A 15,912-nucleotide genomic window follows, 5' to 3' on the forward strand; every position below is an offset into this window, starting at 1 on the left:
TTATGAAAATAGCTGATTTATAATCAACTCGCCCGGACCCTAATTGATTTCCAGGGTGAAATTTAGAAGGGGAGGTATTGACACCTTGAGGACAGGGCGAGCCACCGGCCTTGGGGATGGACTGTGATGGGTGGCTGGGGTGGAGGGGGGAGGACGGGACAGGGAGACAGCGGCCTGAATCTAGTTGGGTTCTTTGTTGCTTCATGAGATGGGCTTTCTGCCCAGCGTTGCTGGAGAGGGTCAAGCCGTAATGGTTGCCACCATTTCCCAGTGACAGAGGCGGTCCCTGGCTCCAGCAGAGGCAACTGTGCCACATTGCAGACAAATCAGGCTGGGCCCAGTGGCTCATGCCTGGAATCCCAGCACTTTGGAAGGCCAAGGCAGGAGGATTGCTTGAGGCCAGGGTTCGAGACCAGCCTGGGCAACACAGCAAGACTCCGGTCTCTATTAAAATAAATAAAGTAATAATTTTTTTTTTTGAGATGGAGTGTCGCTCTGTCGCCCAGGCTGAAGTGCAGTGGCGCCATCTCGGCTCACTGCAACCTCCGCCTCCCAGGTTCACGCCATTCCCCCACCTCAGCCTCCCGAGTAGCTGGGACTACAGGGGCCTGCCACCAAGCCTGGCTAATTTTTTTGTATTTTTAGTAGAGACGGGGTTCCACCGTGTTAGCCAGGATGGTCCCAATCTCCTGACCTTGTGATCCACCCGCCTCAGCCTCCCAAGGTGCTGGGATTACAGGCGTGAGCCACCGTGCCCGGCCAAGTAATAATTTAAAAAAAAAAAAACAAATCTTCCAGCACTCTGTTGGGAAATCTCAACATTGTCCTCATAGCAGCCAGGACAACCTGATACTGTTGATACAAATGAGTCTGCCCCACAATGTCCAGAACCTTCTATCTCTCCAGAGCCTCATGCTCCGGTTGCCAGATGTGGCCAATAAAAATACAGGTTGCCAGCCAGGCACGGTGGCTCATGCCTGTAATCCCAGCACTTTGGGAGGCTGAGGCAGGTGGATCACTTGAGGTCAGAGGTCAGGAGTTCAAGACCAGCCGGGCCAACATGGTGAAACCCTGCCTTTACTAAAAATACAAAAATTAGCCGGGCATGGTGGTGTGTGCTTGTAATCCCAGCTGCTCAGGAGGCTGAGGCAGGAGAATTGCTTAAACCCAGGAGGTGGAGGTTGCATTGAGCCAAGATCGCACCATTGCACACCAGCCTGGGCGACAGAGTGAGACTCCGTCTGAAAGAAAAAAAAAAAAATACAGAATGCCGGGTTCAATCTGAGTTTCAGCCAAACAACAAGTGAGTTTTTAGTATAAGTATAGCCCATGCAATATTTGGGGTATACTCAGACTTTTTTTTTTTTTTTCTTAAAAAAGTATTTTCTGTTTATTTGAAATTCAAGTTGAACTGGGTGTCCTGTATCTTACCTCACAATCCTTCTGTGACGGGCAGGACTCCAGCTCCCAACAGCCCGTAAGGGACGAGACTGACTCCCATTCACCTGATGGGAAAATTGAGGCAAGAGGGGTCGGGCACGGTGGCTCACGCCTGTAATCCCAGCTCTTAGGGAGGCTGAGGCAGGTGGATCACAAGGTCAGGAGATCAAGACCATCCTGGCTAACACAGTGAAAACACGTCTTTACTAAAAATACAAAAAAAAAAAAAAATTAGCCAGGCTTGGTGGCGGGCACCTGTAGTCCCAGCTACTCGGGAGGCTGAGGCAGGAAAATGGCGTGAACCTGGGAGGTAGAACTTGCAGTGAGCCAAGGTTGCGCCACTGCACTCCAGCCTGGGCAACAGAGCGAGACTCCATCTCAAAAAAAAAAAAAAAAGGAAAAAGAAAAAAAAAAAGAAACAGAAACAGGGCTTTGTGTCTCTGGACCTCGGTCTCCACACTGCACAATGGGTGTGATGGTGGCCCCTCCATCACGCGGTGCTCAGGCTGAGGAAATGATTTGTGGATACCCACCAGCCCATGAGCACTCGATTCTTGGGTCTCCCCAGTGCCAACAAAGAGAGAGACAGAGGCAAAGACAGAGAGACAAAGAGAGAGACAAGAGAGAGGGATCTGGGCTGGTTCCGGAAGGGCGAGCCCCCTTTGCGGATGGGGTGGCCCAGGAGGGTGGGAATTCAGTTTGCAAATCAGAAGGTTCCAGACTTTTCTGTAAGGCAGGGAGACAGCTAAAGAGGAGCCTGCAGGCCGGGCGCGGTGGCTCATGCCTGTAATCCCGACACATTGAGATTGGGATCTGACCAAGGTGGGTGGATCATTTGAAGTCAGGAGTTTGAGACTAACCCGACCAACATGGTGAAAACCCATCTCTACTAAAAATGCAAAAAATTAGCCAGGCGTGGTGGTGCATGCCTGTAATCCCAGCTATTCAGGAGGCTGAAGCAGGAGAATCTCTTGAGCCTGGGAGGTGGAGGTTGCAGTGAGCTGACATCATGCCACTGCACTCCAGCCTGGGCGACAGAGCGAGACTCCGTCTCAAAAATAAATAAATAAATAAATAAATAAATAAATAAATAAAGGGGAGCCTGTAGGATGCAGAGACCCAGAGCACCTACCCACAGCTGCCAACGCCCAGTCCCCAAGATGGCCCTGCTGAGCAGTTTTAAGTATTGTTAAAGATAAAATAATTTTTCCTTCTCTGAGCCATCTGATTGACGTGGTAATGGGCCCCGCAGACAGGGAGAAGGTCAGGTTGCAATGTAATCAGTTTTTTCTAGAGTGACGTATAATCATGATAGCAGTGCACCTGGAAAAGGGGGAGGGACCTGCGACAGTCCCCAGACCCTCTGAGCTCTCCGTTGCAGGACACGACAGGGCCACAAGGACGGTGGGACCCAGGGAGGCTTCCTGGAGGAGGCGTAGCTGCAGCTGGGATTGGAAGGACATGGCATCACAAATGCAAAGTTGTGGAGGTTGGAACTGTCTCTTTGTGCCTCTTCCTGATCCCACTAGATCTTACTCTCCAGGGGAGAATCCAATTCCCACCTTTCCCAGCGTCTAGAGACATCCGCATCCCTTGGCTCAGGGCCCCCTCCTCCACCTTCACAGCCAGCAGTGGCTGGTCTAGTCCTTCTTTGGTTTTTTTGTTTGTTTGTTTGTTTGAGACAGAGTCTCACCCTGTAAGGCAGGAAGACAGCTAAAGAGGAGCCTGCAGGCCGGGCGCGGTGGCTCATGCCTGTAATCCCGACACTTTGAGATTGGGATCCGGCCGAGGTGGGTGGATCATTTGAAGTCAGGAGTTTGAGACCAGCCCGACTAACATGGTGAAACCCCGTCTCTACTAAAAATGCAAAAAATTAGCCGGACGTGGTGGTACATGTCTGTAATCCCAGCTATTCAGGAGGCTGAAGCAGGAGAATCTCTTGAACCTGAGAGGTGGAGGTGGAGCCCAGGCTGGAGTGCAGTGGCGCCATCTCTGCTAACTGCAACCTCTGCCTCCCGGGTTCAAGTGATTCTCCTGCCTCAGCCTCCCGAGTAGCTGAGATTACAGGCGCCCGTCACCACACCTGGCTAATTTTTGTATTTTTAGTAGAGATGGGGTTTCACCATGTTGGCCAGGCTGGCCTTGAACTCCTGACCTCAAGTGATCCTCCCGCCTCGGCCTCCCAAAATGCTGGGATTACAGGCGTGAGCTACCGCGCCCGGCCAGGCCTGGTCCTTCCTGTGTTGCTATCTGATTCTCTCTCTTCTGCCTCTGTCTTCCACTTTAAAAGACCCTTGCGATGATTTGGGCCCACCAGGTACTCCAGAATAATATCTTTCTCTCTCATCACTAGCTGCCTGGCAACCTTCATTCCACCTGCAACCCTAATTCTCCTTTGCCATTGAATCACATTCATGGGGTCTAAGATTAGGATGTGGACATCTTTGGGGGATCATTATTCTGCCAACTACAACAGCTGACTTGAACCACCAGGCAGACAGCACCACGTCCTACAGCTTGTTCTGTGGCCCAGGCTGGAGTGTAGTGGTGCGATCTTGGCTCACTGCCGCCTCCACCTCCCGGGTTCAAGCGATTATCCTGTCTCAGCCTCCCAAGTAGCCGCGATTACAGGCGTGTGTTACCATGCCTGGCCAATTTTTGCATTTTTAGTAGAGACAGGGTTTCACCATGTTGGCCAGGCTGGTCTTGAACTCCTGACCTCAAGTGATCCACCCGCCTTGGCCTCCCAAAGTGCTGGGATTATAGGTGTGAGCCACCGCGCCCGGCCACTAATTAGGTTTTTTGTTTTTGTTTTTTGTTTTTTCTGTTTTTTTGTTTTTTGTTTTTTGTTTTTGAGACAGAGTCTCACTCTGTCGCCCAGGCTGGAGTGCAGTGGTGCGATGTCGGCTCACTGCAAGCTCCGCCTCCCGGGTTCATGCCATTCTCCTGCCTCACCCTCCTGAGTAACCGGAACTACAGGCATGAGCCACTGCGCCTGGCCCGGTTTTTTTGTATTTTTTGTAGACAGGGTTTCACCATGTTGCCCAGGCTGGTCTTGAACTCCTGAGCTCAAGCGATCCTCCCAACTTGGCCTCCCAAAGTGCTGAGATTATGCACTTTCATGCATTGGGCATTGATTACACCCTGAGCGTGGAGTCATACACTTGACCCTCTTTGCCTCCCCAGCTCCTCCTCACAGGCTCCACCAGGGAAGAAAATACCACTGTACCTAATGCACTGATCAAAACATTGAGACTCAGTGACTGAACAACTTGCCAATGATCCCTCTTGCTCCATAAATTCCGAAGTTGGAATTTAAATGTATGCACATGTGATCGCAAAGCCCGTGGATCTTTTTTTTGTATTTGTATTTGTATTTTTGTATTTGTAACTACTTGTGATTTGTATAATTACTATTATGGTTGTATGGCTACTATCCTTCACTGAGCACCTATTTGTTGATCAGTCTCCAGAATTCACGCCCTAGCTGACTCCTCTGGAAAAGCATTTTACAAAGGAGAGAGCTCAGAGAGGTTGAAGGGCGTGTCCAAGGTCACCCAGTGGGCGGCAGAGCTAGAATTTGAACCCAAGTTCCCCTGGCTGCCGTCCACTGCCTTCCCTGCCTCTGGGAAGAAACCAGGGCTTTGCGGATGATCTACAGAGGCCACTCATCGAGACCCTGCTCGGGTTATTTGGCGGTTTCAGGGGCTCAGCACGCTTTTTTTTTCTTTTCGGCAGAGGCTGGTGGCGGTCCGGGAAGATGAGCCAAGTGCTGAGTCTGCAATGCGAAGTGTCTCTGCAAAAGCCACCAGCCACGTGGCCACAGAGGCCCAGGGCTGTGCAGATGATCAATGTCGCCCCATCCGTCGCTCTGCCATCCTCTCACCTCCGCCTCGGCGTCCTTTATCCCTCCCACTCCGGGTCGCTCTCCAGCTTCCTGGTGCAAAAAGACTGAGCGACACTGCAGAGCGTCCTGAAAATGATGGTGCAGAAATCGTTTAAGGACTGCCGAGGTGAGGAAGGGCAGCCCAGGCCACCATGGAGACACGCAAGGCCGGGTGCCGTGGCTCACGCCTGAAATCCCAGCACTTTGAGAGGCCGAAGTGGGAGGATTGCTTGAGCTCAGGAGTTCGAGGCCAGCCCGGGCAGCATAGCCAGACCCATGTTCCTACAAAAAAACTAGCAGGGCACGGTGGCCTGCACCTGTAGTCCCAGCTACTTGGGAGGCTGAGGCAGGAGAATTGCTTGAGCTTGGGAGGCTAAGGCTGCAATGAGCTGTGATCGTCCTACTGCACTCCAGCCTAGGCAACAGAGCGAGACCCTGTCTCAAGAAAAGAAGGAAGGTTTGGGATGCCAAGGCAGGTGGATTGCCTGAGGTCAGGAGTTCAAGACCAGCCTGGCCAACATGGTGAAACCCCGTATCTACTAAAATCCAAAAATTAGCTGGGCGTGGTGGTGCATGCCTGTAGTTCCAGCTACTAGGGAGGCTGAGGCAGGAGAATGGCGTGAACCTGGGAGGTGGAGCTTGCAGTGAGTCGAGATTGGGCCACTGCACTCCAGCCTGGGCGACAGAGTGAGACTCCGTCTCAAAAAAAAAAAAAAAAAAAAGAAAGAAAATACAAAATTAGCGGGGTATGGTGGCACATGCCTGTAATCCCAGCTACTCGGGAGGCTGAGGGAGGAGAATGGCTTGAATGTGGGAGGTAGAGGTTGTAGTGAGCCGAGATTGCGGCATTGCACTCCAGCCTGGGCAACAAGAGTGAAACTCTGTCTCAAAAAAAAAAAAAAAAAAATAGAGAGAGAGCAGATGAGGACACAGACACACACAGAGGGAAGACAATGTGAGGACACAGGAAAAATGTGGCCATTGAAAAGCCAAGAAGAGAGACCTCAGAAGAGATCAGCCCTGTCAACACCTTGTCTCAGGTGTCTTCCAGCCTCCAGAGTTGTGAGACAACACATTTCTATTGTTTAAGCCAACCAGCCTTTGTACTTCTTTTTGGCAGCCCTAACAAACTCATATAGTGCCCACGAGACCACCTTTACCAGCTCTTCAATAGCCAGGACTCTAAAAGTCACAAAAACAAAGAACAAACAGAAACACTTGATTTCAATTGACTTCAGCAAAAAGGGAGCTATTGTAAATAATAGTATGCCTTCAGGCACGGTTTGATCCAGGTGCTGAAGCCATGTCAAGACCATCTGCTTTCTTCTGAATTAACTTCATTCACAGGAGGCTTTTCCACGTGGTGATCAGATGGGTCCTAGGAGGACAAGGCATTTATCAGCTCAGCAACCCCTGAGGAAAATGTGTCTTCTTACCCCACAGCAGGACTTCACCCACAAGTCCACCAAATATTTAGGAGTTCTCTCTGATTGGGACAACATGGGTCATGGCCCTGAGATAATCACTGAGGCCAGAGGTGTAGCATCCTCTGATTGGCCAGCCCTGGGTATCTTTGATTGGACCTCCCTAGAAAGAGACTTTAAGGCAAGGATTTGTGGGGCAAGGAGTTTATCTAGAAGAAAGCATTCCGGGCCAGGTGCAGTGGCTCACACCTGTAATCCCAGCACTTTGGGAGGCCGAGGCGGGTGGATCATCTGAGGTCGGGAGTTTGAGACCAGCCTGACGAACATGGAGAAACCCTGTCTTTACTAAAAATACAAAAATTAGCCGGATGTGGTGGTGCGTGCCTGTAATCCCAGCTACTTGGGAGGCTGAGGCAGGAGAATCACTTGAACCTGGGAGGCAGAAGTTGTGGTGAGCCGAGATCATGCCATTGCACTCCAGCAAAACTCCATCTCAAAAAAAAAAAAAAAAAAAAAAAAAAAAGCATTCCAGGAATCACTGGGAGGGGAGAGGAAAGTGAGACAAGGGAGGGAAAGAGCCAACACAAGGGGTGTTAATGAGCAGGTGAATGTGCGGGAAACTGGGGCTCGGTCCCACTGGGAACCTCTGGGAGGTACAGAACCTGCTTGGAGTTATCCCAACAGATGGGTCAGGGAGCTGAAGTATTGATCCACCCACTCCCCATCTGTAAAGGTGGAAAGCTGCATTAGCTCTCCTGCCCTCTGGCCTGGCTTGCACAGGACCAAATGGCCTCCAACAGCCAGCAGGACACCATCAGACAGGAGATGTCACAGGTGTTAGCAGTATACAGCCTTCGCATGCAAAGGTGACCTCAAGGCCAGGTGTGGTGGCTCACGCTTGTAATCCCAGCACTTTGGGAGGCCAAGGTGGGCTAATCACCTGAGGTCAGGAGTTCAAGATCAGCCTGGCCAACATGGCAAAACCCCATCTCTACTAAAAATACAAAAAAATTAGCTTGGTGTGGTGGTGGGCACTGTAATCCAGCTACTTGCCAGGAGAATCACTTGAACCCAGGAGGCAGAGGTTGCAGTGAGCTGAGATCATGCCACTGCATTCCAGCCTGGGTGACAGAGCAGGACTCAGCCTTAAAAAAAAAAAAAAAAAAAAAAAGTGACCTCACGATCATAGGGGTAGGGTTGCACTGGGTCACAGCCTCCCTCCCTGGTTCCCAGGTTGAAGCTGACCCTGCCTGGACTTCAGGAACCAAAAGCAAGACAGGGAAGTTCCTCCCAGAAAAATCTAAGGTGCTGTTCCTGAAAAAGGAAGGGTGCAATGGTCTTACTAGAGTCACTTCTCCTTAATTATTCCCATGGATACCATATGTGCCCACTGGGTGCCTCTTGACATTGCCCTCAAGTTGTCCATGACCCTGAGCACCTTCTCAGTCTATAGGGCCGATCACCCTTTCCAACATCACACAGAGAGAGGACCAGATGGTACGATGGATGACACCAAGGCTGCTGTTATTTCTGTGGCTGCCACAAGGTGTTGCTGTTGAACAATAGTCTTGCACAGTCTGTTGCCTCCTTTTCCCTTTGCACTGGCCCCAGTGGAACCCCAACTGAGGTCCGCAAGGTTAGAGTCCTTTGATTTACATTCTTGAATGACTTCAGGCCCCAATCACCAAGCTAGACACAATAACAGGGAAAGTGAAGGAGGTAGAACTTCCAGACACATGTTGCGTTCAAAACCAGGTTTTCCTCCGTTCTCCTCCTCTGTCCCCCTTGAGACTAAGTTCCCACGTGACAGCACTAGGCTTCCTTTTCTGCCTTCAGGTGTCCCTCGGGGCCACTCCTGCCCATCAGAGAGAACCTCAGAAGCAAAAGAAACTGGATTGCAATTCCTTTGCTCCGGTGAATCCCACTTCAACACCACTAGTCAGCTCTGCACACGAAGGAGTTTGAGGAACGGCAGCCTTTGTCCAAGTACTGGTATTCATTACCTATTACTGTGCAACAGATTATCACAAACATAGCAGCTTGAAATAACTCATTTATTATCTCACAGTTTCTGGAAGTCACGCATCCAGAAACAACTTAGCTGGTCCTCTGTTCCAGGGTTTTCCCAAACAGCTACAATCAAGATGTTACCTGGGGCCACCGACATCTCAAGGTCACCAGAGAAAGATCTGCTTCCAAGTTCAAGTGGCCTTGCTCGCGGCTGCTCTTTGTTCTTCTTCCTCTTCTCTCTTCTTCTTCCTCTTCCTCTTCTCTTCTTCTCCTTCTTCTTCTTCTTCTCCTTCTTCTTCGACAGCCTCTTAGTTTGTTACCCAGGCTGGAGTACAGCAGCATGATCTCAGCTCACTGCAGCCTCAACCTCTCCAGCTCAAGCAATCCTCCTGCCTCAGCCTCCCAAGTAGATGGGGACTGGAGGCGCACACCACCATACCCAGCTAATTTTTTCTATATACATATTTTTAGGGACAGGGTCTTGCTATGTTGCCCAGGCTGCTCTTGAGTTCCTGGGCTCGAGCAGTGCTCCCACCTCAGCCTCCCACAGTGCTGGGGTTACAGGTGTGAACCTCTGTGTCCAGCCTGATGGTTGCTTCTTCTCACTCTCTTGCAGTCCCACTTCTATGGGAATAACCTCAGGCTGGTCTTTCAGAAATCAGAGGGCCCATGGAAGAGAGCCCAGTTATCCCAGCCAACCCCCTAACAAGAAAGGAAGCCCAACCAAGATCAGCAGAGCTGCCTATCCAACCCCAAGTTCACTGCAAATTCACTGCAGAGACAGGAATGAGCCCACTTGAGACTGGAAGAGTCAGATGGTTTTATCTGTAGACTTACGAACACAAATAAATGCTTAGGCCAGGAGCTGTGGCTTACACCTGGAATCCCAGCACTTTGGGAGGCTGCAGCAAGAGGATCACTTGAGGCCAGGAGTTCAGGACCAGCCTGGCCAACATAGTGAGGTGCCAGCTCTACAAAAAAAAAAAAAAAAAATTAGGAAAAAATTACCTGGGTGTGGTGGCGCACCTGTAGTCCCAGCTACTTGGAAGCAGAGGTAGGAGGATTACTTGAACCTCAGAGGTTGAGGCTGAAGTGAGCCATGATTGCACCACTGCACTCCAGCCTGGGCGACAAAGTGAGACCCCAACTCCACACTCTCTCTCACACACACACACACACACACACACACACACACACACACACAAATAAGATAAAATAAAAACGCTTAGTGCTTGAAGTCATTGGCTGCAGGGCTACTTGTTACGTACGCAGCAGTAGCTGACTGATCCAACCAGCAATAGCGTCATCATCACCATCCCCCACAATGGGCACCCACTTGCCTTCAATATGAATAAAACTAAGAGGAATCATTCAACTGATTCTCTCTAAATAAAGAAGTTCTGCTTCAAGGAGCTTAGCTGTCTCCACTGTACAAAGGAAAGGTGGCCGGCAGCGTCTGCTGATTAAAAAATGTTAAGTTCCACTTCACCAGGCATCCCAATACCCTCATTTTCCATCCACCCTCCCTGGAAGGTTGAGAAGCCAGGGAGTGCTCTTCCAGGCTTGCAGACCGGGTCACAGATTGGCCAGGGGCATTCAGGACCCTTTGGCTGCCATGAACAGGACCCCTCCCTGCCATCCAAGTCCCAGCTGCTTGCAGCTACGGAGGCTCCCTAGCTCTTCTATCCAACGAACTCGAGACCTTCTTATGGTCAGGCATGGTGGCTCAGGCCTCTAATCCCAGCACTTTGGGAGACCAAGGTGGGAGGAATACTTGAGCCCAGGAATTCAAGAACAGCCTGGGCAATATAGCAAGACCCCATCTCTATACAAAATTTAAAAATAAAAAATGCCCTGGGCACAGTGGTGCATGCCCGTAGTCCCAGGTACTCAGGAGGCTGAGGCATGAGGATTGTCTGTGCTCAGAAGGTCGAGGCTGCAGTGAGCTATGATTGCAATACTGCATTCCAGCGTGGGTGACAGTGAGACCCTGTCTCGAAAAAGAAAGAAAGAAAGAAAGAGAGAGAGAGCGAGCCAGGTGTGGTGGCTCACGCCTGTAATCCCAGCACTCTGGGAGGCCAAGGCAGGCGGATCACAAGGTCAGGAGATCGAGACCATCCTGGCTAACACGGTGAAACCCCATCTCTACTAAAAATACAAAAAATTAGCCAGGTGTGCTGGCGGGCACCTGTAGTCCCAACTACTTGGGAGGCTGAGGCAGGAGAATGGCGTGAACCCGGAAGGCGGAGCTTGCAGCGAGATTGCTCCACTGCATTCCAGCCTGGGTGACAGAGCAAGACTCTGTCTCAAAAAAAAAAAAAAAAAGGAAGAAAAAGAAAGAGAGAAGAAAAGAAAGAAAGAGAGAGAGAGAAAGAAAGAAAGGAGGAAGGAAGAAAGGAAGGAAGGAAGGAAAGGTTCTCAAGACGGGCAGTAAATTTTAGTAGAAAATGGCAGGACTGGCTTCAGAAAGGCTCACACTCTCAGTGTCAGTCGATCAGGAACAAGATGGCTTGTGTTTTGCCTTGACCATGGCCTAGTGCTTGGCAATGTCCAGAATTCTTTTTTTTTTTTTTTTTTTTTAAGATGGAATCTCACTCTGTCACTCAGGCTGAAGTGCAGTGGCACAATCTCAGCTCAATGCAACCTCCACCTCCCAGATTCAAGTGATTCTCCTGCCTCAGCCTCCCAAGTAGCTGGGATTACAGACATGCACCACCACGCCCAGCTAATATTTGTGTGGTATTTTTGTTTGTTTGTTATGTTGTTTGTTTGTTTGTTTTTGCTTTTTTTTCAGTAGAGACAGCGTTTCACCATATTGGCCAGGCTGGGTCCTGACCTCAGGTGATCCACCCACCTCGACCTCCCAAAGTGCTGGAATGACAGGCATGAGCCACCACACTCAGCCATGTCCAGGAATTCTTGATAAGCAGCTCTGGCTACAGGCACCAACTTGCACCTGCCAGGACCTTCCCTATAAGCCCTGGACCTCCCCAAGGTCCGGGCACTAACAGGGCTGCTGGGACCTGCTTCAGAACACTCATTCTCACTGGTCAATGCCACAAGTTGTATCTGTAGCTAATTTGCTTTTAAGAGATGGGGTCTTGCTATGTTGCCAAGGTCGGATGCGAACTCCTGACCTCAAGCAATCCTCCCACCTCAGCCTTCCAGGTGCTGAGATTACGAGCATGAACCATCATGCCTGGACTCTCTAAATTTTTTGTCTGAGAGAGTCTTACTCTGTCATCCAGGCTGGAGTGCGGTAGTGCAATCACAGCTCACTGCAGCCTCGACTTCCCAGGCTCAAGCAATCCTCTTACCTCGGTTTCCCAAGTAGCTGGAACCACAGGTGCACACCACCACAACCAGCTAACTAGAAAAATGTTTTTAGAGACAGGGCCTTGCTATGTTGCCCAGGCTTCTAAATATTTTTTATCATCACTCTGGAAAGCAAGAGTTCTTGGCCAAATAGCTTAGTAGTTAAGAATGTAAGCTCGGCTGGGCGCGGTGGCTCACGCCTGTGATCCCAGCACTTTGGGAGGCCGAGGTGGGCGGATCATGAGGTCAGGAGATCGAGACCATCCTGGCTAATACGGTGAAACCCCGTCTCTACTAAAATACAAAAAATTAGCCGGGCGTGGTGGCGGGTGCCTGTAGTCCCAGCTACTCGGGAGGCTGAGGCAGGAGAATGGCGTGAACCCAGGAGGCAGAGCTTGCAGTGAGCGGAGATCATGCCACTGCACTCCAGCCTGGGTGACAGAGCAAGACTCCATCTCAAAAAAAAAAAAAAAAAAGAATGTAAGCTCTAGGCCAGGTGCAGTGGCTCACACCTGTAATCCCAGTACTTTGGGAGGCCAAGACAAGAGAATCACTTGAGGCCAGGAGGCCAAGGCTGCAGTGAGCCATGTTTACACTACTGCACTCCAGCCTGGACGACAGAGCAAGACCTTGTCTCAAAAAAAAAAAAAAGTAAATAAAATATATATGTATGTTTCACTGTATTTGTAGAAATTATAGGAAGAGTCACAAGAAATTAATAGAATTCTCTCATAGTGGGAAGGTAGAAGCTGAGTGGAAAACAAGAGAGCCAGGCATAGTGATTCATGCATGAAGTCCTTGGGAGGCTGAGGCAAGAGGATCATCTTTGAAAACAAAAGACAGCTTAGACTGCTCCTGAGCCAGGTGGAGCTGCGGCATACCCCTGAGTGTCGCCAATCAAAGATAGCCTACATCAGCCCAACCCCAACCAGATCCCAGACACAGGAGCAATAACACATAACTGTAAGCCAGGGAGTTTTAGTTTGGCTTGTTACGCAGCAGTAGCTAACCATTACACTTCCAAAAGATAACACTGTCATGAACCCCATTTTATAGATGAGGAAATGGAGGCTCACGTTCATTCTCACTGGTCAGTGCCACATGCTGTATCTGTGGCTAATTTGTTGTGGCTTTTTGTTTTTGTTCCTTTTAACACAGAGTCTCATTCTGTTGCCCAGGCTAAAGTGCAGTGGCACAGTCTTGCTCACTTCAACCTCTGCCTCATGGGTTCAAGTGATTCTCGTGCCTCAGCCTCCCAAATAGCTTCAGGGGAAGCCTGAAGTTTCCCAGCTAATGAGTGATAAAGCCAGGATTCAATCTCAGATGCCCAAATTCTTAATCATTCTGTATCCTGCCCCTTAATCATTCTGTATGCTGTCTCCCTCCAGGCTAAGCCATTCCTTCTGAGTCTCTCCTGCCCAAGTCTTTACCTTTGAAAGGAATCACAGGCTCATAGAGACAGAAAGTAGGATGGGTGGAGGGTAGCAGAGGCTGGGGAGGGGGAGGGGAGTGAGTGTTTCATGGGGAAGAATTTGAGTCTGGGAAGATGAGAAGATTCTGGAGATGAAGGGTAGCAATGGTTGCACAACATTGTGAATGTACCTAATGCCACTGAATTGTATACTTTCAAATGGGTTAAGGCCATGCACGCCTATAATCCCAACGCTTTGAGAGGCCAAGGAGGGAGGATCACTTGAGCCCAGGAGCTTGAGATCACCCTGGGAAACATAGCAAGACTTTCTCTACAAAAAATACAAAAATCAGCCAGGCACGGTGGTGCACACCTGTAGTCCCAGCTACTCGGGAGGCTGAGGCAGGAGGATCACTTGAACCCGGGAGTTTGAGACTGCAGTGAGCCGTGCTCGCACCACTGCACTCCAGCCCAGGCGACAGAGTAAGAACTTGTCTCAGAAACCAAAAAGGGAGTTAAAATGGTAAATTTTATGTTATTTCTATTTTGCCTCAATTTTTTTTTTTTTTTGAGACAAAGTTTCACTCTTGTCACCCAGGCTGGGGTGTAATGGCATGATCTCGGCTCACGGCAACCTCTGCCTCCTGGGTTCAAGCAATTCTTCTGCTTCAGCCTCCAGAGTAGCTGGGATTACAGGCGCCCGCCACCACGCCTGGCTAGTTTTTGTAGTTTTGGTAGAGACGGGGTTTCACCATGTTGGCCAGGCTGGTCTGGAACTCCTGACCTCAGGTGATCCACCCGCCTCGGCCTCCCAAAGTGCTGGAATTACAGGCGTGAGCCGCCGCACCCGGCATTTGCCACAATTTTTAAAAGGGGAGAGGCAGAAGGAAGGTTTCAGCCTTCCTCACTTGGTGACCTCACTTTGTGCTTCTCACACTTCACCTCTTCACAATAGGCCTAGACGCAGTGCCAGGGACCGGTTTTGAGAAATTGAGACCCAGAGAGGGTGGAGAATTGTCCAAGACTACACAGCAAGTTGAAGGCACTGCCAGAACTTAGACTTCATCTACAAAGTCAAACTCGGCCTGAACGAATAAGACAACCCCAGGATCCCTCTCCAGGGAGTGAGCGATTTTGCTTAAGCTCCTGGTGGCAGGGGGAAGGAGAAAGGCAAGGAAGCAATTTTTCTGTTGCCTGAGCCCTGAGAATTTCCTCCCTGGGGAGAGGCACTCGCTGGTGAGGACGTGTCCGTGAAGCCTCCAATCACAAGATTAGGTGATTTCATTACTGTCTGAAAAGCTGCCGGGATGGGGACGGTTTGAGCTTACAAATAATCACCCCCGATGCAGGGTGCTGAAGATATCACAGATCCCAGAGGCTGCTCCGGTGGTGGGGCCCGAGTTGTCAGCACGTGGGGAGAGGGGCTCTGGAGTCAGAGAAAGAGAAGAACCTGTCCAAGGTCGCACGGCAAAAAGGGACAAGAGACTCCCCTACAGCCACCAGAGCACTTGTGGTTAAACCTGAGACAGGTGCCCTCCCTCCTCTGCCCACAACATTCCATGGCTCCCACCTTCCTCAGGGTAAAAGCCTAAGTTATCTCACAAAGCCCTTGGCCGGGCACGGTGGCTCACACCTGTAATCCCAGCACTTTGGGAAGCCAAGGCGGGCGGATCACAAGGTTAGGAGATCGAGTCCATCCTGGCTAACACGGTGAAACCCCATCTCTACTAAAAATACAAAAAAAACAGCCAGGCGTAGTGGCGGGTGCCTGTAGTCCTAGCTACTCGGGAGGCTGAGGCAGAAGAATGGCATGAACCCGGGAGGCGGAGCTTGCAGTGAGCCGAGATTGCACTACTGCACTCCAGCCTGAGCGACAGAGTGAGACTCTGCCTCAAAAAAAAAAAAAAAGCCCTGCATGACCTGCCCGCTACCCCCTCATCGCCTCAGTGCACTCTCCTCTTCCCTCTCTCCCCATCCCTCCCTCCACACTGTCCGTGTGGCTTCAGCCACATAGGTCTCCTCGCTGTTCCTCCAACGTGTCAGGCACAGTCCTACCCCAGGGCCTTTGCAGAGGCTGTTCCCTCTGCCTGGAACTCTCTTCCCCCACATCCGTCACTTAAACCAACGCATTTTCCTCCATCCTATTCCCAGGCTTCCATCTTCACCCCCACGACCTGTCCTCTCTTTGGCAGCCAGAGGGCGCCTGTGAGCCCCTGAGTCAGGTCCTGTCCCTCTTCTGTCCACAGCCCTCCATAGCTCCCACTTCCCTGGACGTAAAAGCCCAAGTCCTCCCAGCAGCCCACAAAGGCCTGCATGATTTGCCCCGTCCCCTCCCTGCCTCCCCTTCCTCCCTCTCTCCCACTCTTCACTCCGTCCCAGTCCCTGACACTCAAAAAAAGAAAACAACAACAAAAACAAACGAAAAC

At 50.5% G+C, this 15,912-nt stretch overlaps 4 annotated features.

The window, feature by feature from the left end:
• Positions 463-632: an enhancer, noted in NCBI's record as "experimental_51717 CRE fragment used in MPRA reporter constructs". NCBI's record gives its function as "activates a minimal promoter by MPRAs in K562 erythroleukemia cells, with activity observed for both the introgressed and non-introgressed 19:5508170 or rs147854738 variant alleles {active_cell/tissue: K562}" and the evidence as "EXISTENCE:reporter gene assay evidence [ECO:0000049][PMID:34662402]".
• Position 548: a transcriptional cis regulatory region, noted in NCBI's record as "Neanderthal adaptively introgressed variant 19:5508170 (GRCh37/hg19 assembly coordinates) or rs147854738 in the experimental_51717 CRE". NCBI's record gives its function as "modulates activity of the experimental_51717 enhancer by MPRAs in K562 erythroleukemia cells {active_cell/tissue: K562}" and the evidence as "EXISTENCE:reporter gene assay evidence [ECO:0000049][PMID:34662402]".
• Positions 5,319-5,818: an enhancer, noted in NCBI's record as "H3K4me1 hESC enhancer chr19:5512941-5513440 (GRCh37/hg19 assembly coordinates)". NCBI's record gives its function as "activates a minimal SCP1, AML or CMV promoter by ChIP-STARR-seq in primed H9 embryonic stem cells {active_cell/tissue: H9 hESC(primed)}" and the evidence as "EXISTENCE:reporter gene assay evidence [ECO:0000049][PMID:30033119]".
• Positions 10,612-10,781: an enhancer, noted in NCBI's record as "experimental_51725 CRE fragment used in MPRA reporter constructs". NCBI's record gives its function as "activates a minimal promoter by MPRAs in K562 erythroleukemia cells, with activity observed for both the introgressed and non-introgressed 19:5518319 variant alleles {active_cell/tissue: K562}" and the evidence as "EXISTENCE:reporter gene assay evidence [ECO:0000049][PMID:34662402]".

Source organism: Homo sapiens, chromosome 19 (genome assembly GCF_000001405.40).
Source record: "Homo sapiens chromosome 19, GRCh38.p14 Primary Assembly".
Lineage (NCBI taxonomy): Eukaryota > Metazoa > Chordata > Mammalia > Primates > Hominidae > Homo > Homo sapiens.